General features: G+C 34.9%; 1 annotated feature.

Annotated features, from left to right (window-relative positions):
• Window positions 23,625-24,126: an enhancer, noted in NCBI's record as "H3K27ac-H3K4me1 hESC enhancer chr8:115397999-115398500 (GRCh37/hg19 assembly coordinates)". NCBI's record gives its function as "activates a minimal SCP1, AML or CMV promoter by ChIP-STARR-seq in primed H9 embryonic stem cells {active_cell/tissue: H9 hESC(primed)}" and the evidence as "EXISTENCE:reporter gene assay evidence [ECO:0000049][PMID:30033119]".

Below are 27,461 nucleotides of genomic sequence, written 5' to 3' on the forward strand. Positions count from 1 at the left end.
TACCACTTCTATTTAACATATTACTAGAAGTTCTAGCGAGAGCAATCAAACAAGAGAAAGAAACAAAGGGCATCGAAATCAGTAAAGAGGAAGTCAAATTGTCACTGTTGCTGATTATATAACTGTATACCTAGAAAACACTAAAGACTCATACAAAAAGCTACTAGATCTGATAAAGGACATCAGTAAAGTCTCAGGATACAAAATTAATGCACACATATAGGTATCACTGCTATACACCACCAACAACCAGAATGAAATGTAGAACACAATACCTTTTACAACCGCTGTAAAAAAATAAAACTCAGAAACATACCTAACCAAGGAGGTGAAAGATCTTTACAAGGAAAACTCCAAAACACTGTTGAAAGAAATTATCAACAACTTGAACACATGGAAACATTTCCCATGGTCATGGAAGGGTAGAATCAAAATTGTGAAAATGAGCACCATACTGCCAAAAGCAATCTACAGATTCAATGCAGTTCCCATCAAAATATCATCATTATTCTTCAGAGAACTACAAAAAACAATCCTAAAGTTCATATGGAACAAAAAAAGATCCCATATAGCCAAAGCAAGAATAAGCAAAAAGAACAAATCTGGAGGCAACACATTACCCAATTTCAAACTATACTACAAGGCTATAGTTACCAAAATAGCATAGTACTGGCATAAAAATAGGCAGGTAGACCAATGGAACACAAAAGATAACCCAGAAATAAAGCCAAATACTTATATCCAGCTGATCTTTCACAAAGCAAACAAAAACATAAAATGGGGAAAGGACACCCTATTCAACAAATAGTCCTGGGATAATTGGCAAGCCACATGCAGAAGAATAAAACTGGATTCTCATTTCTCAACTTAGATTAGATTGGTGCAAAAGTAACTGCAGTTTTGCCATTAAAAGTGACAGCAAAACAGCAATTACTTTTACACCAACCTAATACAAAAATCAAGTCAAGATGGATCAAAGATTTAAATCTAAGACCTGAAACCATAAAAATTCTAGAAGATAATATAAAAAAAAACTCTTTTAGACACTGGCATGGGCAAAGAGTTCATGACCCAAAAGCAAATGGAACAAAACCAAAAATAAATAGATGAGACCTAATTAAACTAAAAAGCTTCTGCACAGCAAAAGAAATAATCAGCAGTGTAACAGAAAATAGAAAATATGCACAAACTATGCATCTGACAAAGGACTAATATCCAGAATCTACAAGGAGCTCAAATAAATCAGCAAGAAAAAGTCAAATAATCCCATCAAAAAGTGGACAAAGAACATGAATAGACAACTCTCAAAAGAAGATATAAAAATGGCCAACAAACCTATGAAAAAATGCTCAACATCACTAATGATCAGGGGATGTGAATCAAAACCACAATGTGATAACCACTTTACTCCTGGAAGTATGGCCTTAATTAAAAAATTAAAAACTAATAGATGTTAGCATGATGTGGTGTAAAGGCAACACTTTTACACTGTTGGTAGAAATATAAACTAGTACAACCACTATGGAAAACAGTATGGAGATACATTATAGAACTAAAAGTAGAACTACCATTTGATATAGCATTCCCACTATGCACTATGGTATCTACCCAGAGGGCAATAAGTCATTTTATGAAAAAGACACTTGCACACACATGTTTATAGCAGCACAATTTGCAGTTGCAAAAATATGAAACCAACCAGCCTAAATGCCCATCAACCAAAGAGTGGATAAAGAAAATGTGAGAGAGAGAGATGTATATGCATACATATATATCACATATCAGTATTCCATGAGTGTGTGTGTGTGTGTGTGTGTATGCATATGTGTACATATATACACACAGCTATAAAAAAAGAATGAAATAATGGCATTTGCAATAACCTGAGTGGAATTAGAGAACATTTTTCTAAGTGAAGTAACTCAGTAATAGAAAACCAATTATCATATATTCGCAGTTATAAGTGGGAGCTAAGCTATGAGAACACAAAGGCATAAGAATGATATAATGGACTTTAGGGACTTGGGGGAAGGGTCGGGAGGGGTGTGATAGATAAAAGACTACACATTGTGTACAGTGTACACTGCTCAGGTTATGGGTTCACCAAAGTCTCAGAAATCACCACTAAAGAACATATCTATGTAACAAAAAAACCACCTGTTCTTCAAAAACTATTGAAGTAAAATGAAGAAAAACACCAAAGGGTTGATAACAGAGAACTTCCCAAAACCTAGAGAAAGATATCAATATCTAAGGACACAAAGGTTGTAGAACACCAAGCAGATTTAACCCAAAGGAGACTACTTCAAGACATTTAATAATCAACCTCCCAAAAGTCAAGAATAAATAAAGGTTCTTAAAAGCAGCAAGAAAAAAGAAACAAATATCAAACAATGGAGCTCCAATATGTCTGGCCACAGGCTTTTCAGTGGAAAGCTTGCAGGACAGAATAGAGTGGCATGACATATTTAAAGTACTGAAGGAAAAAACAAAAAAAAAAAAATTTACCCTAGAATAGTATATCCAGTAAAAATATCCTTCAAACATGAAGGATAAATAAACATTTTCCCAGACAAACAAAAGCTGAGGGATTTCATAAATTACAGACCTGTCCTACAATAAATGCTAATGGGAGTATACCAATCATAAAGAAAATAACAATAAATATTAATAATCACTGGAAGGTATAAAACTCACTGGAAATAGTAAGTACATAGAAAAACATAGAATATTATAGCACGGTAACTGTGGTGTATAAACTACTCATCCTAAGCGGAAAGACTAAACAATGAATCAATCAGAAATGATAACTACAACAGCTTTTCAAGACATAATCATTACAATAAGCTATAAATAGAAATGATAAAAATTTAAAAAGTGGGAGGACAAAGTTAAGGCATAAAGTTTTTACTAGTTTTCTTTTTGATTGTTTATGCAAATAGTGTTGTTATCAGGTTAAAATAATGAGTATAAGACAGTATTTGCAAGCCTTATGGTAACCCCAAAGCACAAATCATACAATGGATACACAAAAAATAAAAAGCAAGAAACTAAATCATGTCACCAGAGAAAATCATCTTCACTATAAGAAGACAGGAAGGAAATAAATAAGGAATAGAAGGTCAGAAAACAAATAAGAAAATAGCAGAAATAAGTCCTCATTTATCAAAAATAACGTTGAATGTAAATGGATTAATCTCTCCAATCAAAAGACATAGACTTGCCTAATGGATGAAAAAACAAGACCCATTGATCTGTTACCTGCAAGAAACACACTTCACCTATGAAGACACACATAGGCTGAAAATGATAAAACGTAAAAATATTCTATGACAATGAAAACAAAAAAAGTGGAAGTCACTATACTCATATCAAACCACATAGATTTCAAAACAAAAACTGCAAGAAGAGACACAAAAGATCACTATATAATGATAAAGGGATCAATTCAGCAAGAACATATAAAAATTTTAAATATATATGCACCCAACACTGTTGCACCAAGATATATAAAGGAAATATTATCAGAGCTAAACAGGGTGATAGGCTCCTATACAATAATAACTGGAGACTTCAATGCCCCACTTTCAGCATTGGACAGATCTTCCAGACAGAAAATCAACAAACATCAGACTTAATCTGCACTATAGACCAAATGGATCTAATATTTACATAACATTTCATCCAAAGTCTGCAGAATATACATTCTTTTCATCAACACATAGATTATTCTCAAGGATAGAACACAGGTTAGGTCACAAAACAAGTCTTAAAACATTTGAAAAAAATGAAATAATAGCAAGCATCTTCTCTGACCACAATGGAATAAAACCAGAAATTAATAATAAGAGGAATTTTAGAAACTATACAAATACATGGAAATTAAACAATATGCTCCTGAATGACCAGTGGGTCAATGAGTAAATTAAGATGGAAATTGACAATTTATTGACACAAATAAAAATGGAAATACAATATTCCAAAACCTACGGATACAGCAAAAGTAGTGTTAAGAGGGAAGTTGATAGCTACAAGTGCCTACATAAAAAGAGAAAGAACTTCAAATGAACAACCTAACAATGCACCTTAAAGAACTAGATAAGAAAGAGCAAAACAAATCAAAATTAGTAGAAGTGAAGAAATAATAATGATCAGAGCAGAAATAAATAAAATTGATATGAAGAAAATAAAAATCAAAAGATCAATGAAACAAAAATTTGGTTTTTTGAAAAGTTAAACAAAATTGAAAAACCTTTAGCCAGACCAACTAAAAAGAGAGATCAAAATAAATAAAATCAGAAACAGAAAAGGAGCTATTACAACTGATACTGCAGAAATGCAATAGATCATTAGTACCTACTGTGAGCAACTATATGTCAATAAATTAGGAAACCTATAAAAAAATTGACGAATTACTAGACACGTAAAATCTACCAAGACTGAAGCAGGAAGAAATCCAAAACCTGAACAGATCAATAACCAGTAACGAGATTGAAGCCATAATAAATATTCTCCCAGGGGCCGGGCACGGTGGCTCACACCTGTAATCCCAGCACTTTGGGAGGCCAAGACGGGACAATCAGGAGGTCAAAAGATAGAGACCATCCTGGCCAACATGGTGAAACCCTGTCCCTACTAAAAATACAAAAATTAGCTGGGTGTGGTGGTACATGCCTATAATACCAGCTACTGGGGAGGCCAAGACAGAATAATCGCTTGAACTCGGGAGGCGGAGTTTGAAGTGAGCCAAGATCGCGCCACTGCACTCCAGCCTGGGTGACAGAACAAGACTCCGTCTAAAAAAAAAAAAAGAAAACAATTCTCCCAGAAGAAAAACCTCATAGCTTTATTGCTGAATTCTGCCAACCACTTAAAGAAATAGTACCAATCCTACTTCAACTATTCCACAAAACAGAGGAGGAGGGAATGCTTCCAACCTCATTCTATGAAGCCAGTATTGCGCTGATACCAAAACCAGAAAAAGACATTTCAGAAGAAGAAAGAAGAAGAAGAAGAAGAAGAAGAAGAGGAAGAGGAAGAGGAAGAGGAAGAAGAAGAAGAAGAAGAAGAAGACGACTACAGGCCAATACCTTTTATAAATATTGAGGCAAAAGTCCTCAACAAAACACTAGCAAACTCAATTCAACAATACATTAGAAATATCATTTATCATGAACAAGTGGGATTTGTTCCTGTGATGCAAGATGCTTCAACATAAGGAAATAAATGAAGGTGACACATCATGTCAAACAAAGGAAGGCTACAAATCATATGATCATTTCAATTAATGCTGGAAAATCATTTTATAAAACTTAACATTCCTTTATAATAAAAGCCTTCAAAAAACTGGGGATTGAAGGAACTTACCTCAACATAATAAAAGTCATATATGACAAACCCACATCTAATATCATACTGTATAGGAAAAAAGCGAAAGCCTTTTCCTTTAAGATCTGGACCATGAAAGGGATGCCTACTGTCACCACTCATATTTAATACAGTACTGGAAGTCCTAACTAGAGCAGGAAACAAGAGAAATATACCAAAGACATCCATACTGGAAAGAAAGAAGTCAAATTATCCTTGTTTGCCGATGATATAATCTTATATTTGGAAAACCTAAAGACTCCACAAGAAAACTATTAGAACTGATAAATAAATTCAGTGAAGTTGTAGGATACAAAATCAACATACAAAGATCAGTAGTATTTCTATATGCCAACAGTGAACAATGTGAAAAGAAAAAATTAAAAAGTAGCCCCATTTACAACAGCCACACATGAAATTAAATGCCCATACACAAACTTAACCAAAGAAGTGAAAAATCTCTATAATGAGAATTATAAAACATTGATAGAAGAAATTTAAGAAGACACAATAAAATGGAAAAAAATTCCATGTTCATGGATTGAAGAATCAATACTGTTAAAATGTCCATTCTACTCAAAGCAATCTACAGATTCAATGCAATCCCTCTCAAAATGCCAGTGACAGTCTTCAAAGACAAAGAAAAAAAATTATTCTAAAATTTACATGGAACCACAAAAGACCTAGACTAACCAAAGCTATCCTAAGCAAAAAGACAAAAAGAACAAAGCTGGCAGAATTATATTACCTGACTTCAAATTATACTACAAAGTGATAATAAACAAAATAGCATGATACATACATCCACTGATACATACATCAGTGGAACAGAGTAGAGAACCCAGAAACAGATCCATACACCCATAGTTAACTTATTTTTTACAAAGGTACCAAGACCATACATTGAGGAGAAGACAATCTGTTCAATAAACAGTGCTGGGAAAACTGGATATCCGTATGCAGAAGTATGAAAATAGATTCCTATCTCTTACCTTATAGAAAAATAAAATCAAAATGAATTAACAACTTAAATCTAAATCCTCTAACAATGAAACTACTATAAAAAATCAAGGCAAATGTTCAGCACATTAGTCTGGGCCAAACTTTCTTGAGCAATACCCCAGAAGCACAGACAACCAAAGCAAAAATGGACAAATGGGATCACATCAAGTTAAAAAACTTCTGCACAGCAAAGGATACAATTAACAAAATGACAAGAAAACCTACAGAATGGGAGAAAGTATTTGCAAACTACCATCAGACAAGGGCTTAATAAAAAGACTATCTGAGGATTTCAAATAACTCCATAGGAAAAAAATCTAACTATTTGATCTAAAGATGGGAAAAATATTTGAATAGACATTTCTCTAAAGAATACATACAAATGGCAAACAGGCATATGAAAAGCTGCTCAACATCATTGATTATCAAAGAAATGCAAATCAAAATTACAATGAGCTGTCATCTCACTCCAGTTAAAATGGCTTATATCAAAATGACAGTCAATAACAAATGCTGCATATCAGATCAAGGAAATTTTGGGCAGAGGCTATGAGGTTTTCTAGGTATACAATCTTATTGTCTGCAAACAGGGATAGTTGGACATCCTCTCTTTCTATTTGGATGCATTTTACTTCTTTCTTTTGCCCAATTGCTGTAGGTAGGACTTCCAATACTATGTTGAATAGGACTGGTGAGAGAGGAATTTCTTGTCTTGTTTTGGTTCTTAAGGGGAATGTTTCCAGCTATTGTCCATTCAGTATGGTGTCAGTGGGTTTTTTCAAAGACGGCTGCTTTTATTTTAAGGTATTTTCCTTCAGTGCCTAGTTTGTTGAGGGTTTTTAACATGAAGCAATGTTTAATTTTATCAAAAGCCATTTCTATATCTACTGAGATAATCATGTGTTTTTTGTTTATATGATGAGTAACATTTATTGATATGTGTATGTAGAACCAATCTTGCATCCCAGGGATAAAGCCTACTTGGTAATGGTGGACTAGCTTTCAGATGTGCTATTGGATTCAGTTTGTTAGTAATTTGTTGAGTATTTTTTGCTGGCAAAGACTTCATGACAAAGACACCAAAAGCAATTGCAACAGAAACAGAAATTAATAAATGAGATCTAATTAAATGAAAGAGCTTATGTACAGCAAAATAAATTATCAACAGAGTAAACAGAAAATCTCCAGAATGGGAGAAAATATTGCAATTTATGCATCTGACAAAGGTCTAATATCCAGAATCTAGAAGAAACTTAAACATATTTACAAGCAAAAAACAACAGCCCCATTAAAAAGTAGGCAAAGGACATGAACATACATTTTTCAAAAGAAGATATAGATATGTCCAACAAGCATATTTTAAAATGCTTGACATCAATCATTAGAGCAATGCAAATCAAAACCTCAATGAGATAATATCTCACATGAGTCAGAGTGGCTATTATTAAAAGGAAAGTAAATAAATAATAGATGCTGGAAAGATTTTGAAAAAAAGGAAATGTTTATACACTGCTGATGGAAATATAAATTAGTTCAGCCATTGTGGAAAGCAGTTTGATGAATACTTAAATAACCTAAAACGGGATTACCATTTGACCCAGCAATCCCATTATTAGGTACATACTCAAAGGAAAATAGATAATTGTACCAAAAGAACACATGCACTCATATATTCTTCATCATGCAGTTTACTACCAGAGACATGGAACCAACCTAGGTGTTCATCAATGAATGAGTGCACAAAGAAAATGTGGTACATATACACCATGGAATGCTAGGAAGCCATAAAAAACAATAATATTACGTACTTTACAGAAACAGGGATAGAGCTGGAGGCCATTATCTTTTTTTTTTTTTTTTTTTTTTTTTTTTTTTTTTTTTTTTTTTTTTGAGACGGAGTCTTGCTCTGTCTCCCAGGCTGGAGGGCAGTGGTGTGATCTCAGCTCACTGCAACCTCCACCTCCTAGGTTCAAGCAATTCTCCTGCCTGAGATTCCTGAATAGTTGGGATTACAGGCACACGTCACTGCGCCCAGCTAATTTTTGTATTTTTAGTAGAGATGGGGTTTCACCATGTTGGTCAGGCTGGTCTCCAACTCCTGACCTCATGATCTGCCTGCCTTGGCCTCCCAAAGTGCTGGGATTACAGGCGTGAGCCATCGTGCCCGGCCGAGGCCATTATCTTAACCAAACTAACACAGGAACAGAAAACCAAACACCACATGTTCTCACTTATAAGTGCTAAGCAATGGGAACACATAAATACTAGAAGGAGAACAACAGACACTGGGGTCTACTTGAGGATGGAAGGTGGGAGGAAGGTGAAGATAAAAAATTACTCATCAGGTCTGGGTGCAGTGGCTCACGCCTGTAATCCTAGCACTTTGGGAGGCCGAGGAGGGTGGGTCATCTGAGGTCAGGAGTTCGAGACCAGCCTGGCCAACATGGCAAAACCCTGTCTCTACTAAAAATACAAAAATTAGCCAGGCATGGTGGCGGGAGCCTATAAACCCAGCTATCTGTGAGGCTGAGGCAGGAGAATAACTTGAACTGGGGAGGCCGAGGTTGCAGTGAGTCGAGATCGCACCATTTAACTCCAGCCTGTGTGAAAGAGCGAAATTCCGTCTTAAAAAAAATTACTTGTCAGGTACTATGTTTATTACCTGGGAGACAAAGTAATCTGTACACCAAAGCCCCCAACATACAATTTAGCTATATAACAAATCTGCACATGTACCCTTGAACACAAAATAAAAATTAAAAGAATAATTTTTAATAGAAAAAATAAAAGACTGTCAAACCAGACAGGAAGGTGCCAGAGTTTGAAAGGATTTTTTAAAATATTAGTAGAGAGTCATCATCAGTATCCCTAATTAATATTTAAAAACAAGTTAGCCAGGGAAAGACATCTTTCATGTTTCTCATATGTATTTCATCTTCTTTGTTTCTTGTCCTCCTCGCTCTTTGCAGATAAATTTTAGGGAAATCAGATGAGGAGAACTGAAGAAATTAAGGAATTGGCTGTGGAAAATTGGAAAGCCCAGGACAGCAAATGATGAACAAAACCAAGGCAAAAGAACAATATAGTTTATCAGCCCTAAACACCTTTAGTATAACTATTGGAGATGTATTGTCAACAAGAGAACACTGGGGATACTTGGCAAAATAAGAAAGGAAAGAACACTCCTCACCTTTCATGTGTCTTCTTTTATATTCCCAATCCTCCCCACTCCCTCCGTCAGCACCCTACCCCTTCAAAAAACAAAAATCCAGAATCCTCTATAGGGTAATTTTGCATCAATTTTATAAAGAGACCCAATATTCATCATCTGTTTAGTCATCATTTTAAAAATATAATTTAATAGGAGGGTCAAATTGCTTTTTGTGGTTTTACTTATTCTCAGAATTATAAGATGTAGTTGGAATGACAGAAGATGAAAAGTTTAGTAGCAGTAGGAGTTAAATGAGCAGAAGAAATTATATTGGAAATATAAAAAGGAGAATAAAGTAAACTTTTAAATAAGTAAAGTATAAAATGTATACAATGTGTTCAAAAACCAGAGATTTACCCGTTTATGCCAGAGGTTGCAAATTTTTTTGTGTGAAAAATCAGACCTTGATGATGACCTTGAGCAGTAGGATGTAAATAACTCCCATAAGCATAGCGTTCCACTATTGGAACACTAGGCGTAAATCGCTAATAGGTTAGTATAGTGACAATCACTGAGTGATCTAATTTAAGATAAATAATTTGCATATATTTTTGCATGACAAGAATGTTAGAGATTTTTAAAAAATACATAGTTTTTGCATTCAAAAATTGCAAAATGATAAAAGAATTTATCTGTGATGTTTAGTGCAAGGTTAGATGCTAAGCACAGTTACAAATTGGGTTCCCAAAAAGCAACTCTGAGACCCATGCACATGCAGGAAGTTTACTTCTTACTACTTACCAAGAAAACTACTCTTGGTAACCACACCTGTGAAAAGTTGAGGAGCTAAAAGAAGTAAAAAACAGGGTATTAGGGTTCTTCAGAGAAACAGAACCAGAACCAATAGGAGATGGACGGATGGATGGATGGATGGATGGAAGAATGGATAGATGGATGGATGGATAGATGGATGGATGGATGGATAATAGTTAGATAGATAGATAGATAGATAGATAGATAGATAGATAGATAGATAGACATAGAGATTTATTATAATTTTATGTAGACTGACAAGTCCTGAGATCTATAGCTGGCAAGCTGGAGACCCAGGACAACTGATTGTATAATTCCAGTCTTAATGTAGCAGGCTGGAGACCCAGAAAGAGTCATAATTTCAATTCTAGTTCAAAGACAGAAAACAAAACAAAGCAAAACAAAAGTAGTATCTCAGCTAATGGCAATCAGGCAGGAAAAAATTCCTTCTTACTCGAGGGAAAGCTAGCCAGGCTCTCAATTTTTTGGAAGGACCTTACCCACAATAGGGAGGGTAATTTGCTTTAGTTAGTCTACCCGTTTAAATGTCAATCTCATTCAAAAACATTCTCATAGAAACACCCAGAATAATGGTTGACAAAATATCTGGGCACAATATATGGGCCAGGTGACATATACAATTAAACATCACAGTTGGGCAGCATCACAGTCAAAGGCCCCAGACTCTGCGATAGAAATCTCTGGATTTGGGATAGCCCTGCAAATTTGCTCCAGATGAAGTAAGAGAGTGCTTATACTCCCTGCATTCATGCCATTGGATGAGGCAAGGAGGCTCCTTCATCCAAAGCAAATGGGCTAAGAAGTGAGTTGACTCTGTTTAGCCAAGGACATAGTCTGGGAGAGGGAACTTAGCTGCATGCTGTTGGCTATCGATGCTCCCAGTTGCTGGGAGAAGGAGTGCTTTAATCCTGAGGGTTGTAGAGACTTGGCTTACATACCAGAGTCTACACGATGCTCTCTATTACATCCTAGATATTCGAAGAGAAGAGTCTTGTAATTTAGCTTTTGAGATTTTCAGAATATAGAATAGAAAACAGATAGGTAAATCCCATAGAAAGAAAGGTTTGTAATCTCTAAAGTTTTACATTCTTGTGCTCTTACAGACTACCTGGTATACCATATGAATATATTATTAACTAAGTAAATTAAAAAGTGATATAAACATCAGCAAATATCAGTATTATAAACTATGGTATATAGAGAATTTTTTATTGTTTGTTGATTACTCAATTAATGAATATTTAATTAATGGATATTTAATAATATTGATTCAACACAACTCGTTCATGTATTATTTGCCAGATACTCCTTAAAGTATTCAGTAACTTGGACCTAAATCCATTTAAATGAGTATTTAATTTCTGTCTCAGTAAAAACTATATATTGTTCATGGTCAAATGAAGTTCTTCAAGGGTAAGATTATTCAAATGAATGCTTTTGATTTTAATTCATGTATGATTAGTCATTTATTTGAATATGTTTTGTCTGTACTTTTATTGTGATAGGCATGGAGCTAACATCTAATGATTAATAATAACAAAATATAGTCACTTGCTTCACTGATTCAGTTGAAGAAATTTAAAAGATAAACTAGGAATTGCACCACAATTTAAATAAGATCCAAAATGAAAATGCATATTAAGAGAGTATGGAGATGTAAGAATCTCTGAATCAATTAATAATGATTGAAGTGTGTATATGTGAGACAATATTTAAGAACATATAAAACATCCATAAAAGTTTAATCAAAGATTTTATTACATCTGAGGAAAGACACAAAACCAATGCAATAAATAAGTGGAAAAAATTAACTTGTGAAATTTTTGCATATTTGAAAATGAGTAGTCTGTTTAAAAAATAATTTTATGTCAAAAATTATGCCTACTTTAAATATTATTTTACCCCTAGTATAAATGTAAGAAGCAAGTATTATTTTTCTCCATTTATAATCTTGAGAAAATTTTAGCCTAGGGAGTTAACCTCTCATAGAGAGTAAATGGCTTCGCTTTAATTTAAACTGTAATCTGTAAAAATCTAAAATCCACAGGGCATGAATTTTAAATGCTTTATGGTATTCACATTTGCTATGGTTTGGATGTCTGTTCCCTCAAGTTGAAATATACTTAATGCCATTGTAAAAGTATTAACGGTTGGGACCTTTAAAAGGTGATTAGACTATAAGGGCTCTGCCCTAAGGGTTGGGACTAATGCCACCACAGACAGGCAAGATAAGCCCCCTATTGCCCTCTCTCTCTTTTCCCTTCTTCCATGTAATGCCTTTTGCCATGTGATCACTCTGCAAAAAGGCCCCCACCAGAGGCTGCTGTCATAATGATGGACTTCCAAGTCTTCAGAATTGTAAGCCAATAAATTACTGTTCATTATTAATTATCCAGTCTGCAGTATTCTGTTATAGCAGAACAAAATGAACTAAGACATTATGGAATCATGCCATAGTTCTGTATTTGATTAAAACTTTGTTGTAAAAATAAGACATTTCAGGGTAAGAGGATGGTAAATATTAAAATCATGATATTAAGATGAGAATATTGGAAAGAAGTAAGAGAAAATATTTAAAAACTCATGTTACCTAATTAGATTTTAATACTCACTCTTAGTTTTTGTACATAAATGTATACTTGGCATCCTAAATCAGTATTTAGCAGAGAAAATGAAGTATCTGTATAGTAGGAAAAACAACTAATATAACATAAACAGCTGTATAAAGCTGGAATTAAAATAAATTTATTCTAAAATAATAAACACCTGAATATCTCCTTAAATCTGCTTTTTCAAAGCAGAGATGAAGATTGGCAGAAAGGTGCATAAAAGGTAAGAGTAGAAGGAGAAAAAATACAAACAGAGAGGGAAAGAAAAGGGGGGAGCGAGAGAGAGAACGAGAAACAATTACTCTTACCAGAAGTTAGGGTATTTAAATACAAATGGATGTAAATTTATTGGAATATATTTCTAAACACTTTTCATTTATATTTATATAACTCCTTTGCAACCATAGACCTCTGTGATTGTACCTGTGGAACTGAAAACCTCCATCAATTGTTAGTTGCTTTAGAAAATCAGTAATGAACATAACTCATGCATACTGAGTTTATTAATAATACACTTAATGTGCAATAAAGGTTAAGAATTTTCATATGCAATCTTCTGTCTTTATTTTTTCCCACTTTGAACAATTTTGACTATTTTTATTCCATCTATTTTACAGAATAGGAAGGGGGATATTTTATTTTTTAATTCTTATTATTATTTCAACTTTTATTTTAGATTCAGGAGGCAAATGTACATATTTGTTACATGGGTATACTGTGTGAAGCTGAGGTTTGGGGTACCTCACCAAAATAGTGAGCATAGTATCCAATAAGTAGTTTTCCAGTCCATTCCCTCCTTCTCCCCCCCACTCCCTCACTTCCCAGTAGACCACAACGTCTACTGTTCTCTTCTATATGTCCATGAGCACGCAGCTCCTACTTAAAGGTAGAAACACACACTATTTGGTCTTCTATTCCCCTGTTAATTCATTCATGATAATGGCCTCCGGTTGTATCAATATTGCTGCAAAGGACATAATTTCATTCTTTTTTTCATGGCTGCATAGTATTCCATAGTATGTTTATATTACCTTCTCTTTATCCAATCCAACATTGATAAGTACCTAGGTTGATTCACTATTGTGAGTAGTGCTGAGATGAACACATGAGTGCATATGTCTTTTTGACAGAATAATTTATTTTCCTTTGGGTATATACCCAGTAATGAAGTTGCTAGGTCAAATGGTAGTTCAGTTTTAAGTCTTTGAAAAATCTCCAAACTGTTTTCCACAGTTGCTGAATTTATTTACATTCCCACCAACAGTTTATAAGCATTCTCTTTATTTTCACAGACTTGACAGTATCTGTTATTATTTGACTTTTTAATAATGGTCATTGTGACTGATATGAGATGGCATCTCACTGCAGTTTTGATTTTCATTTCTCTAATGATTATTGATGTTGAATATTTTTTCATATTAATTGAGTGCTTGCATGTCTTTTTTTGAAAAGCATCTGTTATGTTCTTTGCCTGAATCAGTAATTTAAAAACTACCAACCAAATAAAAAGCTCTGGAACCAGATAGATTAATAGCAAAATTCTACCAGATGTATAAAGAACTGGTATCAATTCTACTAAAACTATTCAAAAAAATAGATGAGGAGGGGCTCCTCCCTAACTCATTTAATGCAGCCAGTATCTGACTGACACCAAAATCTGGCAAAGAGCAACAAAAAAATTTAGGCCAATATTTCTGTTTAGTCTAAGCAAGACTCCTCAACAAAATACCAGTAAACAAAATCCAGAAGCACATCAAAAAGTTAATTCCCTACCATCAAGTTGGCTTTGTTGTTGGAATGCAAGGCTAGTTCAACATACACAAATCAATAAATGTGAATCATCAACAGAATTAAAAGCAAAAACCATCTGATAATCCCAATAGAGACAGAAAAATCTTTTTGAGAAAATCAAACATTTCTTCACGATAAAAACCCTCCACAGACTAGGTATCAAACAAACATACCTCAAAAAAATAGAGCCGTTTATGACAACCTCACAGCCAACATCACACTGAAGGGCAAAAGCTGGAACCAGCCCCTTTGAGAAATGGAACTAAACAAGGACACCCACTCTCACTCTCCTATTCAACACAGCACTGGAATTCCTAGCCAGAGTAATCAGGCAAGAGAAAGAAATAAAAGACATCCAAATAGGAAAAGAAGTAGTCCAAATATCTCTCCTCACTGATGATATGATTCTGTACTGAGAAAACCTTAAAGTCTCTGCCATAAGGTTTTTAGAACTGATTAATGACTTTAGTAAAGTTTTAGGATACAAAATCAATGTACAAAAGTCAGTAACATTTCTACACACCAATAATGTTCAAGCTGAGAGTCAAATCAAGAACACAATTTCATTTACAATATCCAAAAAATAAATAAAATACCTAGGAATGCATCTAACCAAGGAGGTAAAATATCTCTACAAGGACAACCACAGAACACTACTGAAAGAAATCAGAGATGACACAAAGAAATGGAAAAACATTCCATGCTCATGAATTAGAAGAATCAATATTGTTAAAATAGCCATTTACAGATTCAACACTACTTCTGTCAAATGACAAGTATCATTTTTTCACAGAATTAAACAAAACTATTTTAAAATTCATATGGAACCAAAAAAGAGCCTGATCAGCCAAAGTAATAATAAGCAAAAAGAACAAAGCCAGAGGTATCACATTACCTGACTTCAAACTATGCTATAAGGATACAGTAATCAAAACAGCACACTACTAGAACATAAAGACCAATGGAACAAAATAGAGAATCCAGAAATAAAGCTGTATACCTACAACCACCTGATTTTCGAAAAAGTTGACAAAAACAAGCAATTAGGAAGTGACTTCCCCATAAATAAATGATGCTATGAAAACTTCTGCTACACGCAGAAGAAGAAAACTGGATCCTTACCTTGTGCCATATACAAAAATTAGGTAAAGATGAATTAAAGGTTTAAATGCAAGACATCAAACTATAAAAATCTTAAAAGAAAACCTAGGAATTACTCTTCTTCACATTAGCCTTGCCAAAGAATTTTTTGTTGAGTCCTCAAAAGCAACTGCAACAAACACAAAAATTGACAAGTGGAACCTAATTAAAGAGCCTCTGCACAGCAAAAGAAACTATAAACAGAGTAAAGAGACAATCAACAAAATGGGAGAAAATATTCATAAACTATGCATCCAACAGGGGTCTAATATTCAGAACCTATGAGGAACTTAAACAAATAAGGAAAAACCAAATAACCCCGTTTTTAAAAAATGGGCAAAGGACATAAAATTTTTAAAAAGCCTGAATTCTACAATTTTCTATGGTTGGATGTGTAACATTTTGAGTTAATGCTATCACAATTAACATTAATTAAACATTTTTTACAACACATTTTAGCATGCAAATACAACTCAAAATAGTTCTCAAAATTTAGTTTGTTCAAGAATAACCTAGGAGCTTATATAAAATATATGTCCAGGGATACCATTCTCAGAGGTTTTGATTCAGTATATTCAGTTTCAGTCTCAGGAATATACCTGTCAAGTAATTACCTCAGATAGTTTTGATTTAAAAATAAAGATATTTTTAAAGATCTCTACATCTATGTGGCAAAGTTTATTGGCACACTTTCTGTCCCACTTTAAGTTTCTAACATTAAGACTCTGCCACTATTGTTAAGACTCTGCCATATATTTGCCATATATTGTTGCTATATCATTTTATTTAATCTTAGCCAGGCAAACTGAAAGGAGGTATATATATAATATCCTTTAATGTATAAAATATACATTAAAACATAATTGTATAAAATATACATTAAAACATAATTGTATATATACACACAAATATAAATATATATTTACATATATTTATATAATCATATGTAAATATCTTAAGTGTGTATTTACATACATATTTACATAAATTAAAATATATTAAATTATTTAATATATATTTATGTGTGTATATATACAATTGTATTTTAATGGTATTTATCTATAAATAGGTATATATAACACATTATTATATCTATAATTAATATTATGTATATGTGTGTATATGTATACTATTGTATTTTAATGGTTTGAAATAAAAATCCCTTTCTTAAAATATTTCCCCAATATGTGATCTGAATTTTAATCATGTTTAAATTATTGTTTTTGATTTGTGAAATATGTAAATATTCAAAGATTGCACTCTTGTCATAATGGTTGTCCCTTACTTGTAGGGCTAACGGACAAGTAGTAAATGCCAGATGCCAGGGACCTGCTTTGTAAAGAATGCTTTCTTTATTGAAAAAACACACACTTAATGGTAACTAACACACTTAATAGTAATGAAAAATATAGAAGACATGAGATTGTTTTAGATTTTATATAATAGAATATTATAAAGTCATTAAAATACTTTGAAAAAGCATTTTACGAAAAACAAAATTGACAAAAATAAAATACATTATTTAAACACAGAATCAAAACTTCAAAATGACACCAATGCTCAATGATCAAGGCCTACTTAATACATTTTTGACATTTATTGTTAGACTATTATTTTGGCACTAAAAATATATATTTTCACAAATTAAAAGTTCTTATATCAAAAGTATAATATGACATTTTGAGTTTAATGACTGATATTTATGCTTAAAATACGTCAAGTGATAAAAATTTCGTATGTTAGAACAAATACATAGTAAGAAAACTTTGATGTATTTATCCATAGGGATAACATTAATATTATTTTTTTACATTTAAAAAACTATTTTCCCCTACCTTCTCACTTTTTAAAATAAAGCACAAATATATGTTTTTAAAAACCTGCTTTGTCACTGTGGATTTTTTTTATCCTGATAACTAGGAAACAGCATCATACAATTGAAAAAGTATTGATCTAGTAGCTGGATTATTATACTTCCACCTATGTAATCTTTTTCTTTTAATCTTGGTTAAATCTTTTAATCTAAATATCTACACTATGAGGGAATTTGTTTTATCCTTTTTCATCTGACAGTATTGTACCATATGAGTGATAATTTGTTGTAAATAGATAATATATGTCAACACATCAATAAGCATAAAATATACGTTAAGTAAGAACGTTTAGATTTCTGACTTCAAAAATATTATCAAGTGGAAAACATAAGATTAAAAATAACTTTTAACTAGAGCTACATGGGAGTTGAAGATTTCCACACTAAGAATATTACAGTCTCTGAATCTACCAAATGTTTCTGGAAAATGTTCATGTGACATAATTATTTTAAACATTTTCTAAATCATGGCAACTAGAATATGTTAAAAATTAACAATTTATATATGTGTATATTTATATTTTATATATATGTATGTATACATACACATGCAAACTAATATGTGAGGGTCAAATATGTCTAAATATATACATTAAGTATTACTATTTTTATAGTACATTACTTAAATTTTGAAGGAAAGAAAATACTAATGTTTGACTATGATAAAATAAATAAGTAAATAAATAAGCATATAAATAAATGAAATGAATACAAAATGCTAAAAACAAAAAATAAAAGAATAAAGGAAGACATAGCAAATGAAAAATATATAACCACTAGTCATATAAATAACTAATGAAATATATCCCAAGAAGAGGGCACAATATATTTGATTCATCACAGAGGGATCATCATGCTGGAGTTGCCTGATGAAGGAAGACAGTGTTCAAATAGGAGGGGCAGGTGGTACATGTCCCAGTTTGTTAACATGAATATGTTGCATGATGCTGAGGTTTGGGGTATGGATTCTGTCACCCAGGTGGTAAGCATAGTACCCAATAGGTAGTTGTTTAACCCTCGCTCCCTCCCTCCTCTACTAGCTCCACTGTCTACTGTTCCCATGTTTATGTTCATGTGTGCTCAGTGTTAATCTCCCACTTGTAAGTGAGAATATGTAGTATTTGGTTTTCTGTTTCTGTGTTAATTCACTAAGGATTATGGCCTCCAGTTGCATATATGTTGCTGCAAAAGACATGATTTCATTCTTTTCCAAACTGCCTAGTATTCAATGGAATATATGTATCACATTCTCTTTATTCAATCCGATCCACCACTGAAGGGCACCTAGGTAGATTCCATGTGTTTGCTATTGTGAATAGTGCTGTGATGCATATGCAAGTGCCTGTGTCTTTTTGGTAGAATAATTTATTTTCTTTTGGGTATATACCCAGTAATGACATTGCTGGGTTGAATGGTAGCACTGTTTCTCTTGGAGAAATGTCCAAATGGCTTTCCACAGAGGCTGAACTAATTTACATTCCCCAAAAGAGAGTATAAGGATTCCATTTTCTCCATAGCCTCATCAGCATCTGTTATTTTTTTATTTGTTATAGTAGCCACTCTGACTGGTTTGAGAATGGGTCACTGTATTTACAGTGACTGGTATCAAGCTGTAGTTTTTGACTTACATTTCTCTGAAGATTAGTGATGATGAGCATTTTATCATGTTTGCTGGTCATTTGGGTATCTTCTTTGGAGTTCATGTCCTTTGCCCACTTTTTAAATGTGGGTTTTTTTTTTTGCTTATTGATTTGTTTGTTTCGTATAGATTCTGGATATTAAACCTTCGTCAGGTGCAGAGTTTGGGAGTATTTTCTCCCATTCTTTAGGTTGTCTGTCTACTCTGTTGATACTTTGTTTTGCTGTGTAGAAGCTCTTTAATTTAATTAGGCAATGCTTGTCAATTTTTGTTTTTGCTGTAATTGCTTTTGAAGACTGTCGTAAATATTTCACAAGGTCAATGTTCAAAATGCTATTTCCTAGGTTTTCTTTTAGAATTTTTATATTTTACATATTGAGGTCTTACATGTAAATCTTTAATCCATTTTGAGCTAATTTTTTATATGGTGCAAGGTTGGGGTCCCGTTTCATTCTTCTGCATATAGCTGACCAGTTATCCCAGCAGTATCTATTAAATAGCTTTTTCTTTCCCCATTAATTGTTTTTGTCAGCTTTGTCAAAGATCAAATTGTTGTACATGTGCAGCTTTTCTGGGTTCAGTATGCTGTTCCATTGTTCTATGTGTTTTTGTGTTGCATGTGTTCTATCTGTTCTTGTTTTAGTGCCACACTCTTTTGGTTACTGTAGCCTTAAAGTATAGTTTGAAGTTGGGTAATATGATGCCTTCAGCTTTGTTCTTTTTGCTTAGGCTTGCTTTGGCTATTTGGACTTTTTTTGGGTTCCATGTGAACTTTTGGAATAATTTTATTTAATTCTGTGAAGAATGATATTTGTAGTTTGATAAGAATAGCATTGAATCTGTAACTTGCCTTGGGCAGTATGGCCATTTTAACAATATCGATTCTTCCAATCTATGAACATGAAATATTTTTCCATTTCTTTGTGTCATCTCTGATATATTTCAGCAGTGTTTTGTAGTTCTTCTTGTAGAGATCTTTCACCTCCTTAGTTAGCTGTATTCCCAGGTATCTCATTTATTTTGTGGCTATTATAAATGGGATTATATTCTTAATTTGACTCTCAGCTTGAACATTCTTGGTGTATATAAATGCTACTGATTTTTGACATCAATTTTGTATCCTGAAACTGTATTAAAGTCATTTATCAGTTCTAGGAGCCTTTTCACAGAGGCTTAGGATTTTCTAGGTATAGAATCACATCAGTGAAGAGAGATAAGTAGACTTCTTTTCCTATTTGAATGCCTTTTATTTCTTGCTCCTGCCTGATTTGTCTGGCTAGATGGTCACTTTGAGAAACCTGCAGAATATTTGGTGCATAATGGAAATGATAAGTAAGTCAGACTTCATATTGTCCTGCCCAAACTATTTCCTGGGCGGTTAAGGACTTGTTGAGTTAATATAATATGTGTGGCTGTGTCTGATGGAGACTTGTGTTCGAATGTGCTTCTGAAGAAAAGACTTTGAATATACTTCTATGTCTCTAGTTAACAGATCTGAGAAGAAGTCAGGATACCTGTTCCATGAAGGGGTCCAAAAGGAAGATGCCCAGAGGCTTATGGGTCTCTATACTGAGCATGCCCAGCATGACAGGCTGGCATTGAGGCTGAAAAGGCCAAAGGCAGAGATTATCCTGCCCTAAGCGGGGTCACACACACAGGCTAAAGTAGCCCGTCATGGCACCAGACGCTACTACTGGGATCATCTGAGACAGTTAGTAGATGAAAAGGATAAAATCCTAGAATTTCTTTAATTCATGTCCAACATTTACTGATGCAGACACTGAGGCCCAGAAAGAGGAAGGGATTTGCCAACATACAGGCGGCAGTTAAAATGGGAGTTGGAACCCAGTTTTCTGTCTCCTGGTTTTCTTTAGAAAACCGGAAGACAGAAAGTGATTCTTATTTTTCCTTCTACTTTAGTTCACTTTACAAATAGTGTTTCATACAGAAGACAACGAATTGAGAGAGGTTAGGAAGCCGGCTTTGAAATCACACCATATGCTAAAGCTTGGATGTGTCCTCCAAATCTCATACTGAAACGTAATCTCCAGTGTTGGGTGTCGCGCCTGTAGGGAGGTGACTAGATCATGGGGGTGGATTTCTCATGAATGGTTTGGCACCACCCCCTTGGTGATTTCCTACTGATAGTGAGTGAGTTATTGTGAGATCTGATTGTTTAAAAGTGTGTGGCATCTTCCCCTTGCTTTCTCTTGTACTCCTGCTTTTGCCATGTGATGTGCCTGCTTCTGCTTTGCCTTTTCGCTTCAGTAAAAGCTTCCTGAAGCCTCCCCTGGAAGCCTAGCAGGTAACATTACCATGCTTCCTGTACACCTTGCATTTGCAGAATTGTCAGCCAATTAAACCTCTTTTCTTTGCAAATTACCCAGACTTAGGTATTCATAGCAACAGAAGAACAGACTAACAAATTATGAATGTATTAAAAGAGCACTTAACATCAGGAACAAAAGATTACCAAGCCACAACTCTTTTAATTTATAGATGATGAAACTGGAAACCAGAAAACCAGATGACCTGCCTAAGAACACATGGAAAACCTGGCCTCCTGACTCTTCCTGGCTGTGCCCCCCTGTATCATAGCTGTGTCCAGGCAGCTACCACCACTGACTGAATGTTTCAGCATTAAATGCTAGGTTTCAATCCATGAGCTTGTGAACACACTTCTGTGTTTTCTGTAAACTAAAGTTGAAGGTATATAATAATGCATAGTTCAGTATCATCCATACAAATCTCATTGAACATTTATTTCAGATTTCAGTATCAGGAAAAAAGTACTTCCCTGAGAAGTGAGCATATTTCTGATAAGTATGAAAGCAATTATGTTTCCCTATTTACTCTGGCTGGCACAAAGCTCAGAGCCTAATTCAATGTACATTAAAATATGGGTATTTCCTCTTTTTATCTTTTATCACCAATTTTTATTTAATTTACTTTAATACATATGTCTTTGGAGTTAAGACAACTCAATTTCTTTTTGTGAAAGATGGAGACATCATCATCATAACAATAATTGTTGTTATGCTAAAAATAAATTATGATAATGTTAATAACAAAAAGTAAAAATTAAAATAGGAGGAGGGAAAGGTAGAGCCTCGTAGTCCATGATAAGAACTAAAATACCAAAGTTGTCTAGTGAAGACAAGGATTTTCAGTAAAGAATGACAAAGACTTATATTTTGAAAGGATAGCCTAAACAAGTGCGTATAAAGTAGAATATGATGGTGAGACCATGATGAAAAGAGGCAGAAGCATTGGGAAAAACTGTTCATATTCATAGAAAGAAATGATGGTTGTGTTGACAGGAGTTGTTAGAATAGTCAGATTCCAGAAGTATTTGAAGGTAGAGCTGCCAGCACCTATTGGTGTATCAAGGACAGAAGAATGAGAAAGGTCAAGAAAAAATAATTTGCATGTGGGAAGGGCAGAAATAGTAAGTTCTGTGTGGCACAATTTAAGTTTGTAAAAACTAGTAGACATTCATGTAGAGACATTGAATCCATAATTGAATAGATGAGCCTGTATTTCAGAGAAGCTGTCAGGATTGCAGTTATGCATTTGGGAGAGGTCAGCATTCGCCTACATATGCTGACTACATAAGGTCCCTTCGAGTGTGAGTGTAAATAGAGGCAAGAAGTTATCCAAGGGCTGAGCACAGAGCACATTGTTGTGATCAGCAATCCAAAGTTACGATTCTTTCTAAGGTTACCTGAGGTAGAAGCAGAATTGAAGGAGAGTAACTTCTTGAAAGAAATACAGAAATGTATTTCAGGAAGTCTGAAATACTTGTCTGTAAATATCACTTAATTGTGGTGGATAAGGGAAAGAAACTGGCATTTAGATTTTGTAATATGAACATCATTGAGGTTACTGCCAAGTTGCAATTCCGAGGAATGTGTGGGAGTGCCTCCCCTCTCCCCTTCAAAAAACCTAGGTTCCGAAGAGAAAGGGACAAGGGGGAATGAAGAAGACGATGAATGGTGATTATTCTCTGGAAAAAGAGAAATAAGGCTGTAATTCAGGGTGAAATATCAAAATTAAAAAAAAACCCTACTAATGTAGAACTAATGAAAACACATATATGTAAACAGTCAAGTTATTAGAGTGTGATATGTAGAATAAAAGAGAACTATAGCCACAGCTCTTATGTAAGCTTACAGTTGGAAGCCTCAACCATGAAACAACTAATTAAATAGTCTGTAATAAACAGTACTTACAAATTTGTGCAGAAGACATAATACACGACTTGATATTTTGAAGAATGAAAATTAAATTTTGGATATTTTCATAAAATACTCATATTTTCCTTTTGATTGAATTGGAGAATGGCTTTTATTATCTTTATAAGCTGAAGACTTCCATCAGATCTTTCCACTAAATCCATATGCTTGAGTAAAGGCAGCCATATTGAGAGGTGACAGCGTGCTGGCAGTCCTCACAGCCCTCACTCGCTCTGGGCGCCTCCTCTGCCTGGGCTCCCACTTTGGCGGCACTTGAGGAGCCCTTCAGCCCACCGCTGCACTGTAGAAGCCCCCTTCCAGGCTGGCCAAGGCTGGAGCCCACTCCCTCAGCTTGCAGGGAGGTGTGGAGGGAGAGGCGCGAGTGGGAACCAGGGCTGCGTGCGGCGCTTGCGGGCCAGCTGAAGTTCCGGGTGGGCGTGGGCTTGGCGGGCCCTGCACCCGGAGCAGCCGGCCGGCCCTGCCGACCCCGGGCAATGAGTGGCTTAGCACCTGAGCCAGCGGCTGCGGAGGTTGTACTGGGTCCCCCAGCAGTGCCAGCCCACCGGCACTGCGCTCGATTTCTCACAGGGCCTTAGCTGCCTTCCCGCGGGGGCAGGCCTCGGGACTGCAGCCCGCCATGCCTGAGCCTTCCCCCGCCTCCGTGGGTTCCTGTGCAGCCCAAGCCTACCTGACGAGCGCCGCCCCCTGCTCCATGGCGCCCAGTCCCATCGACGCCCAAGGGCTGAAGAGTACGAGCGCATGGCTCAGGACTGGCAGGCAGCTCCACCTGCAGCCCTGGTGCGGGATCCACTGGGTGAAGCCAGCTGGGCTCCTGAGTCTGGTGGGGACGTGGGGAACCTTTATATCTAGCTCAGGGATTGTAAACACACTAATCAGCACCCTGTGTCTAGCTCAGGGTTTGTGATGCACCAATGGACACTCTGTATCTAGCTGCTCCTGTGGAGTCTTGGAGAACCTTTGTGTGCATACTCTCTATCTAACTAATCTGATGGGGACGTGGAGAACATTTGTATCTAGCTCAGGGATTGCAAACGCACCAATCGGCGCCCTGTCAAAACAGACCACTGGGCTCTACCAATCAGCAAGATGTGGGTGGGGCCAGATAAGAGAATAAAAGCAGGCTGCCCCAGTCAGCAGTGGCAACCTGCTCAGGTCCCCTTCCATACTGTGGAAGATTTGTTCTTTCACGCTTTGCAATAAATGTTGCTACTGCTCGCTCTTTGGGTCCACACTGCTTTTATGAGCACACTGCGAAGGTCTGCAGCTTCACTCCTGAGCCAGCGAGACCATGAGCCCACTAGGAGGAACGAACAACTCCAGACACGCGCTTTAAGAGCTGTAACACTCAGCGCGAGGGTCCGCGGCTTCATTCTTGAAGTCAGTGAGACCAAGAACCCACCAATTCCGGACACAATATTGCTTGCCTTGTAATTCTGCAAAAGTAGCCCCTGAGAAAATGTATTGGAACAGTTACCAGTTGTACCTTTTTGGCAAAAGAATTGATTTAATTCTCTGCTTTAATTTATAGTTTAATAAAAAAGTCATTCCAAAAGGCAATTCATCTTAGCTCTCAAAACCAGATCGTTGGAAACATCTTGTTTAGACAAAGCAAATGTCAGAGCAAATAGAAATTAACAAATTGAAAGCAAAATTATTTCTTTGCTTGCATGTAAAATGGACCCGTTACTCCTCCAAATAGCTGTACATTAATCAAATGATAAGAAGGCATTCATGTATGCCCAACTTTCTAGCCTTCTATAAATGTCTTAGATGTGAGCCAAATAATTTTGGCCTTTGATAAAACATTTTTACTGCCAAAAAAGCTAATTGTTGTTTCATATTTGGTTTACGTAGTTAGTAGTAAAAGACACTGTGGCTTATCTCAAATGTATTTATATTTCAAATCTTTTGGAGGTGAGCCAGTTAAAATCGATACTTTTAGTCATAAAAAAAGTTCGAACTTGCTTCAATGTTATTTAGTTTATGTGTGTTTTATTGTTGTTTCTTGCACTTTGTTATTTCATACTAGGCCTTTTAAAGAAACTTTTTCAAGACAGTAAGCAATAAGAAGTTTACTTTTCAATATACTGAGCAGTGAATTGTAAAATATATCATAAAAAGCTTATGAAAAATATATGTGCTTTAAAAACAATAATAAAACAAAAATGATACAAAATATCCACACTCCAGGACAATACATAAAATATTAATTTATTCTCAAAACCCTCCATGTGCCTTTCCCAATAACACTCTTTCCTCCTTCTTCAGGAGTAACCACGATTCTGAATTTATATTAATATCTTTCTGTTTCTACATAGTTTTAAAACTACATATGTATGTTTTATCAGTAAGGTTGCAATGAGGGAAGGAAAACCACTATACGCAAAGGAATATAAAATTTATAATAGGAAACTGGAACTTACGTAATTGTGAAATTAGGTGGGGAAGGAGAGGTCCAAAAACAATCAGAAAAATATCACTAACCATGCCTGGCTTCATTAACACATTGGTGTTTACAGGAAGTGAGGTATGTCCAGCACTGGAATGGAAGCACAATGCCTGGTGTAAACAGTCAAGGGAAGATTACCAGCTCTGTGAGTTTGCAGCCAATGTCTGGATGGAACTGGGGTTGCTATCACACAGTGGGGTTGACGTCAATAAGGAAAGCCAGAACCTCTGCTTCTGTTCGACACTGCCTTCACCCAGGATGTCCTTTACCATTAATGTCTTCTGCTGTATTTTAAATCTCATGAAAAGTTTTATTGTGTCTCACCTTTACCCAACACAACACAAAGCAGGGATATGTGGAAAATATCGGAAAATCACCAGAAACACGTATGTGTTACTAAACAACACATTGTACAGTTTTGTCTGTTTTTAAACTTTAAATAAATGAAGCTATACAGAATGATTTCTGTGACTCACTTCTGTTGTTCAAAATTGTATTGGAGGTTCACTCATATTTTTATTGTGTATTCTATTTTTCTATTTTTTTAATATGCCACAAAACTTGATCTCTTTTTTTTTGAGACAGAGTTTTGCTCTTGTTGCCCAGGCTGGAGTGCAGTGGCATGATCTCAGCTCACTGTAACCTCTGCCTCCCGGTTCAAGTGATTCTCCTGCCTCAGCCTCCCAAGCAGCTGGGATTACACGAAAACTTTCTGTTTTTATTGGTCATTCCGAACAACGTTACTATAGACATGTAAGTACACTTTTCCTGGTGCACACATGCAAGAAATCAGAGGAAATGATAAATCATAAGGTAGTCACATGGTGAGCTTCACTAGGAAACTGTAACCTGATTGTCAAAATAATTAAATGAATCTACACATCCCTTGCAGTGGATAAGAGTTCTATTTGCTCCAAATTGACCCCCTGACAATTAATATAGACCTACTCTTAATTACCACCTACCTGGTGATTGTGAAATGATATTTTAATTGATACTAAGTTTCATTTTCTAATGACTACTAAAGGTTTTACAACATCACATACATTAATGGATTCTTAGTGTTTCCACCTTTTTTAAATTCCTATTTACATATTTACTTATGTTTGTCTACTAATCATATTTGCTATTTGTTCAATTTTAATGTTAGTATTCTACTTGATTTGTAGAATATATTTATATATTTTTCATTTTATTTATTTTTTTTCTTCATATATATGTGTGTAGTTTTAGGTTTATGCTGTTCTTAAGTTTATTGAAGACTTCCATCAGACACCTAATCTCACAATTATTTATTGTGGTAATATTTATGTTAACTATAAATATAAAGATAGTTTACATATGTAGTTT

The sequence above is a fragment of the Homo sapiens genome, chromosome 8 (assembly GCF_000001405.40).
Source record: "Homo sapiens chromosome 8, GRCh38.p14 Primary Assembly".
Taxonomy (NCBI): Eukaryota; Metazoa; Chordata; class Mammalia; order Primates; family Hominidae; genus Homo; species Homo sapiens.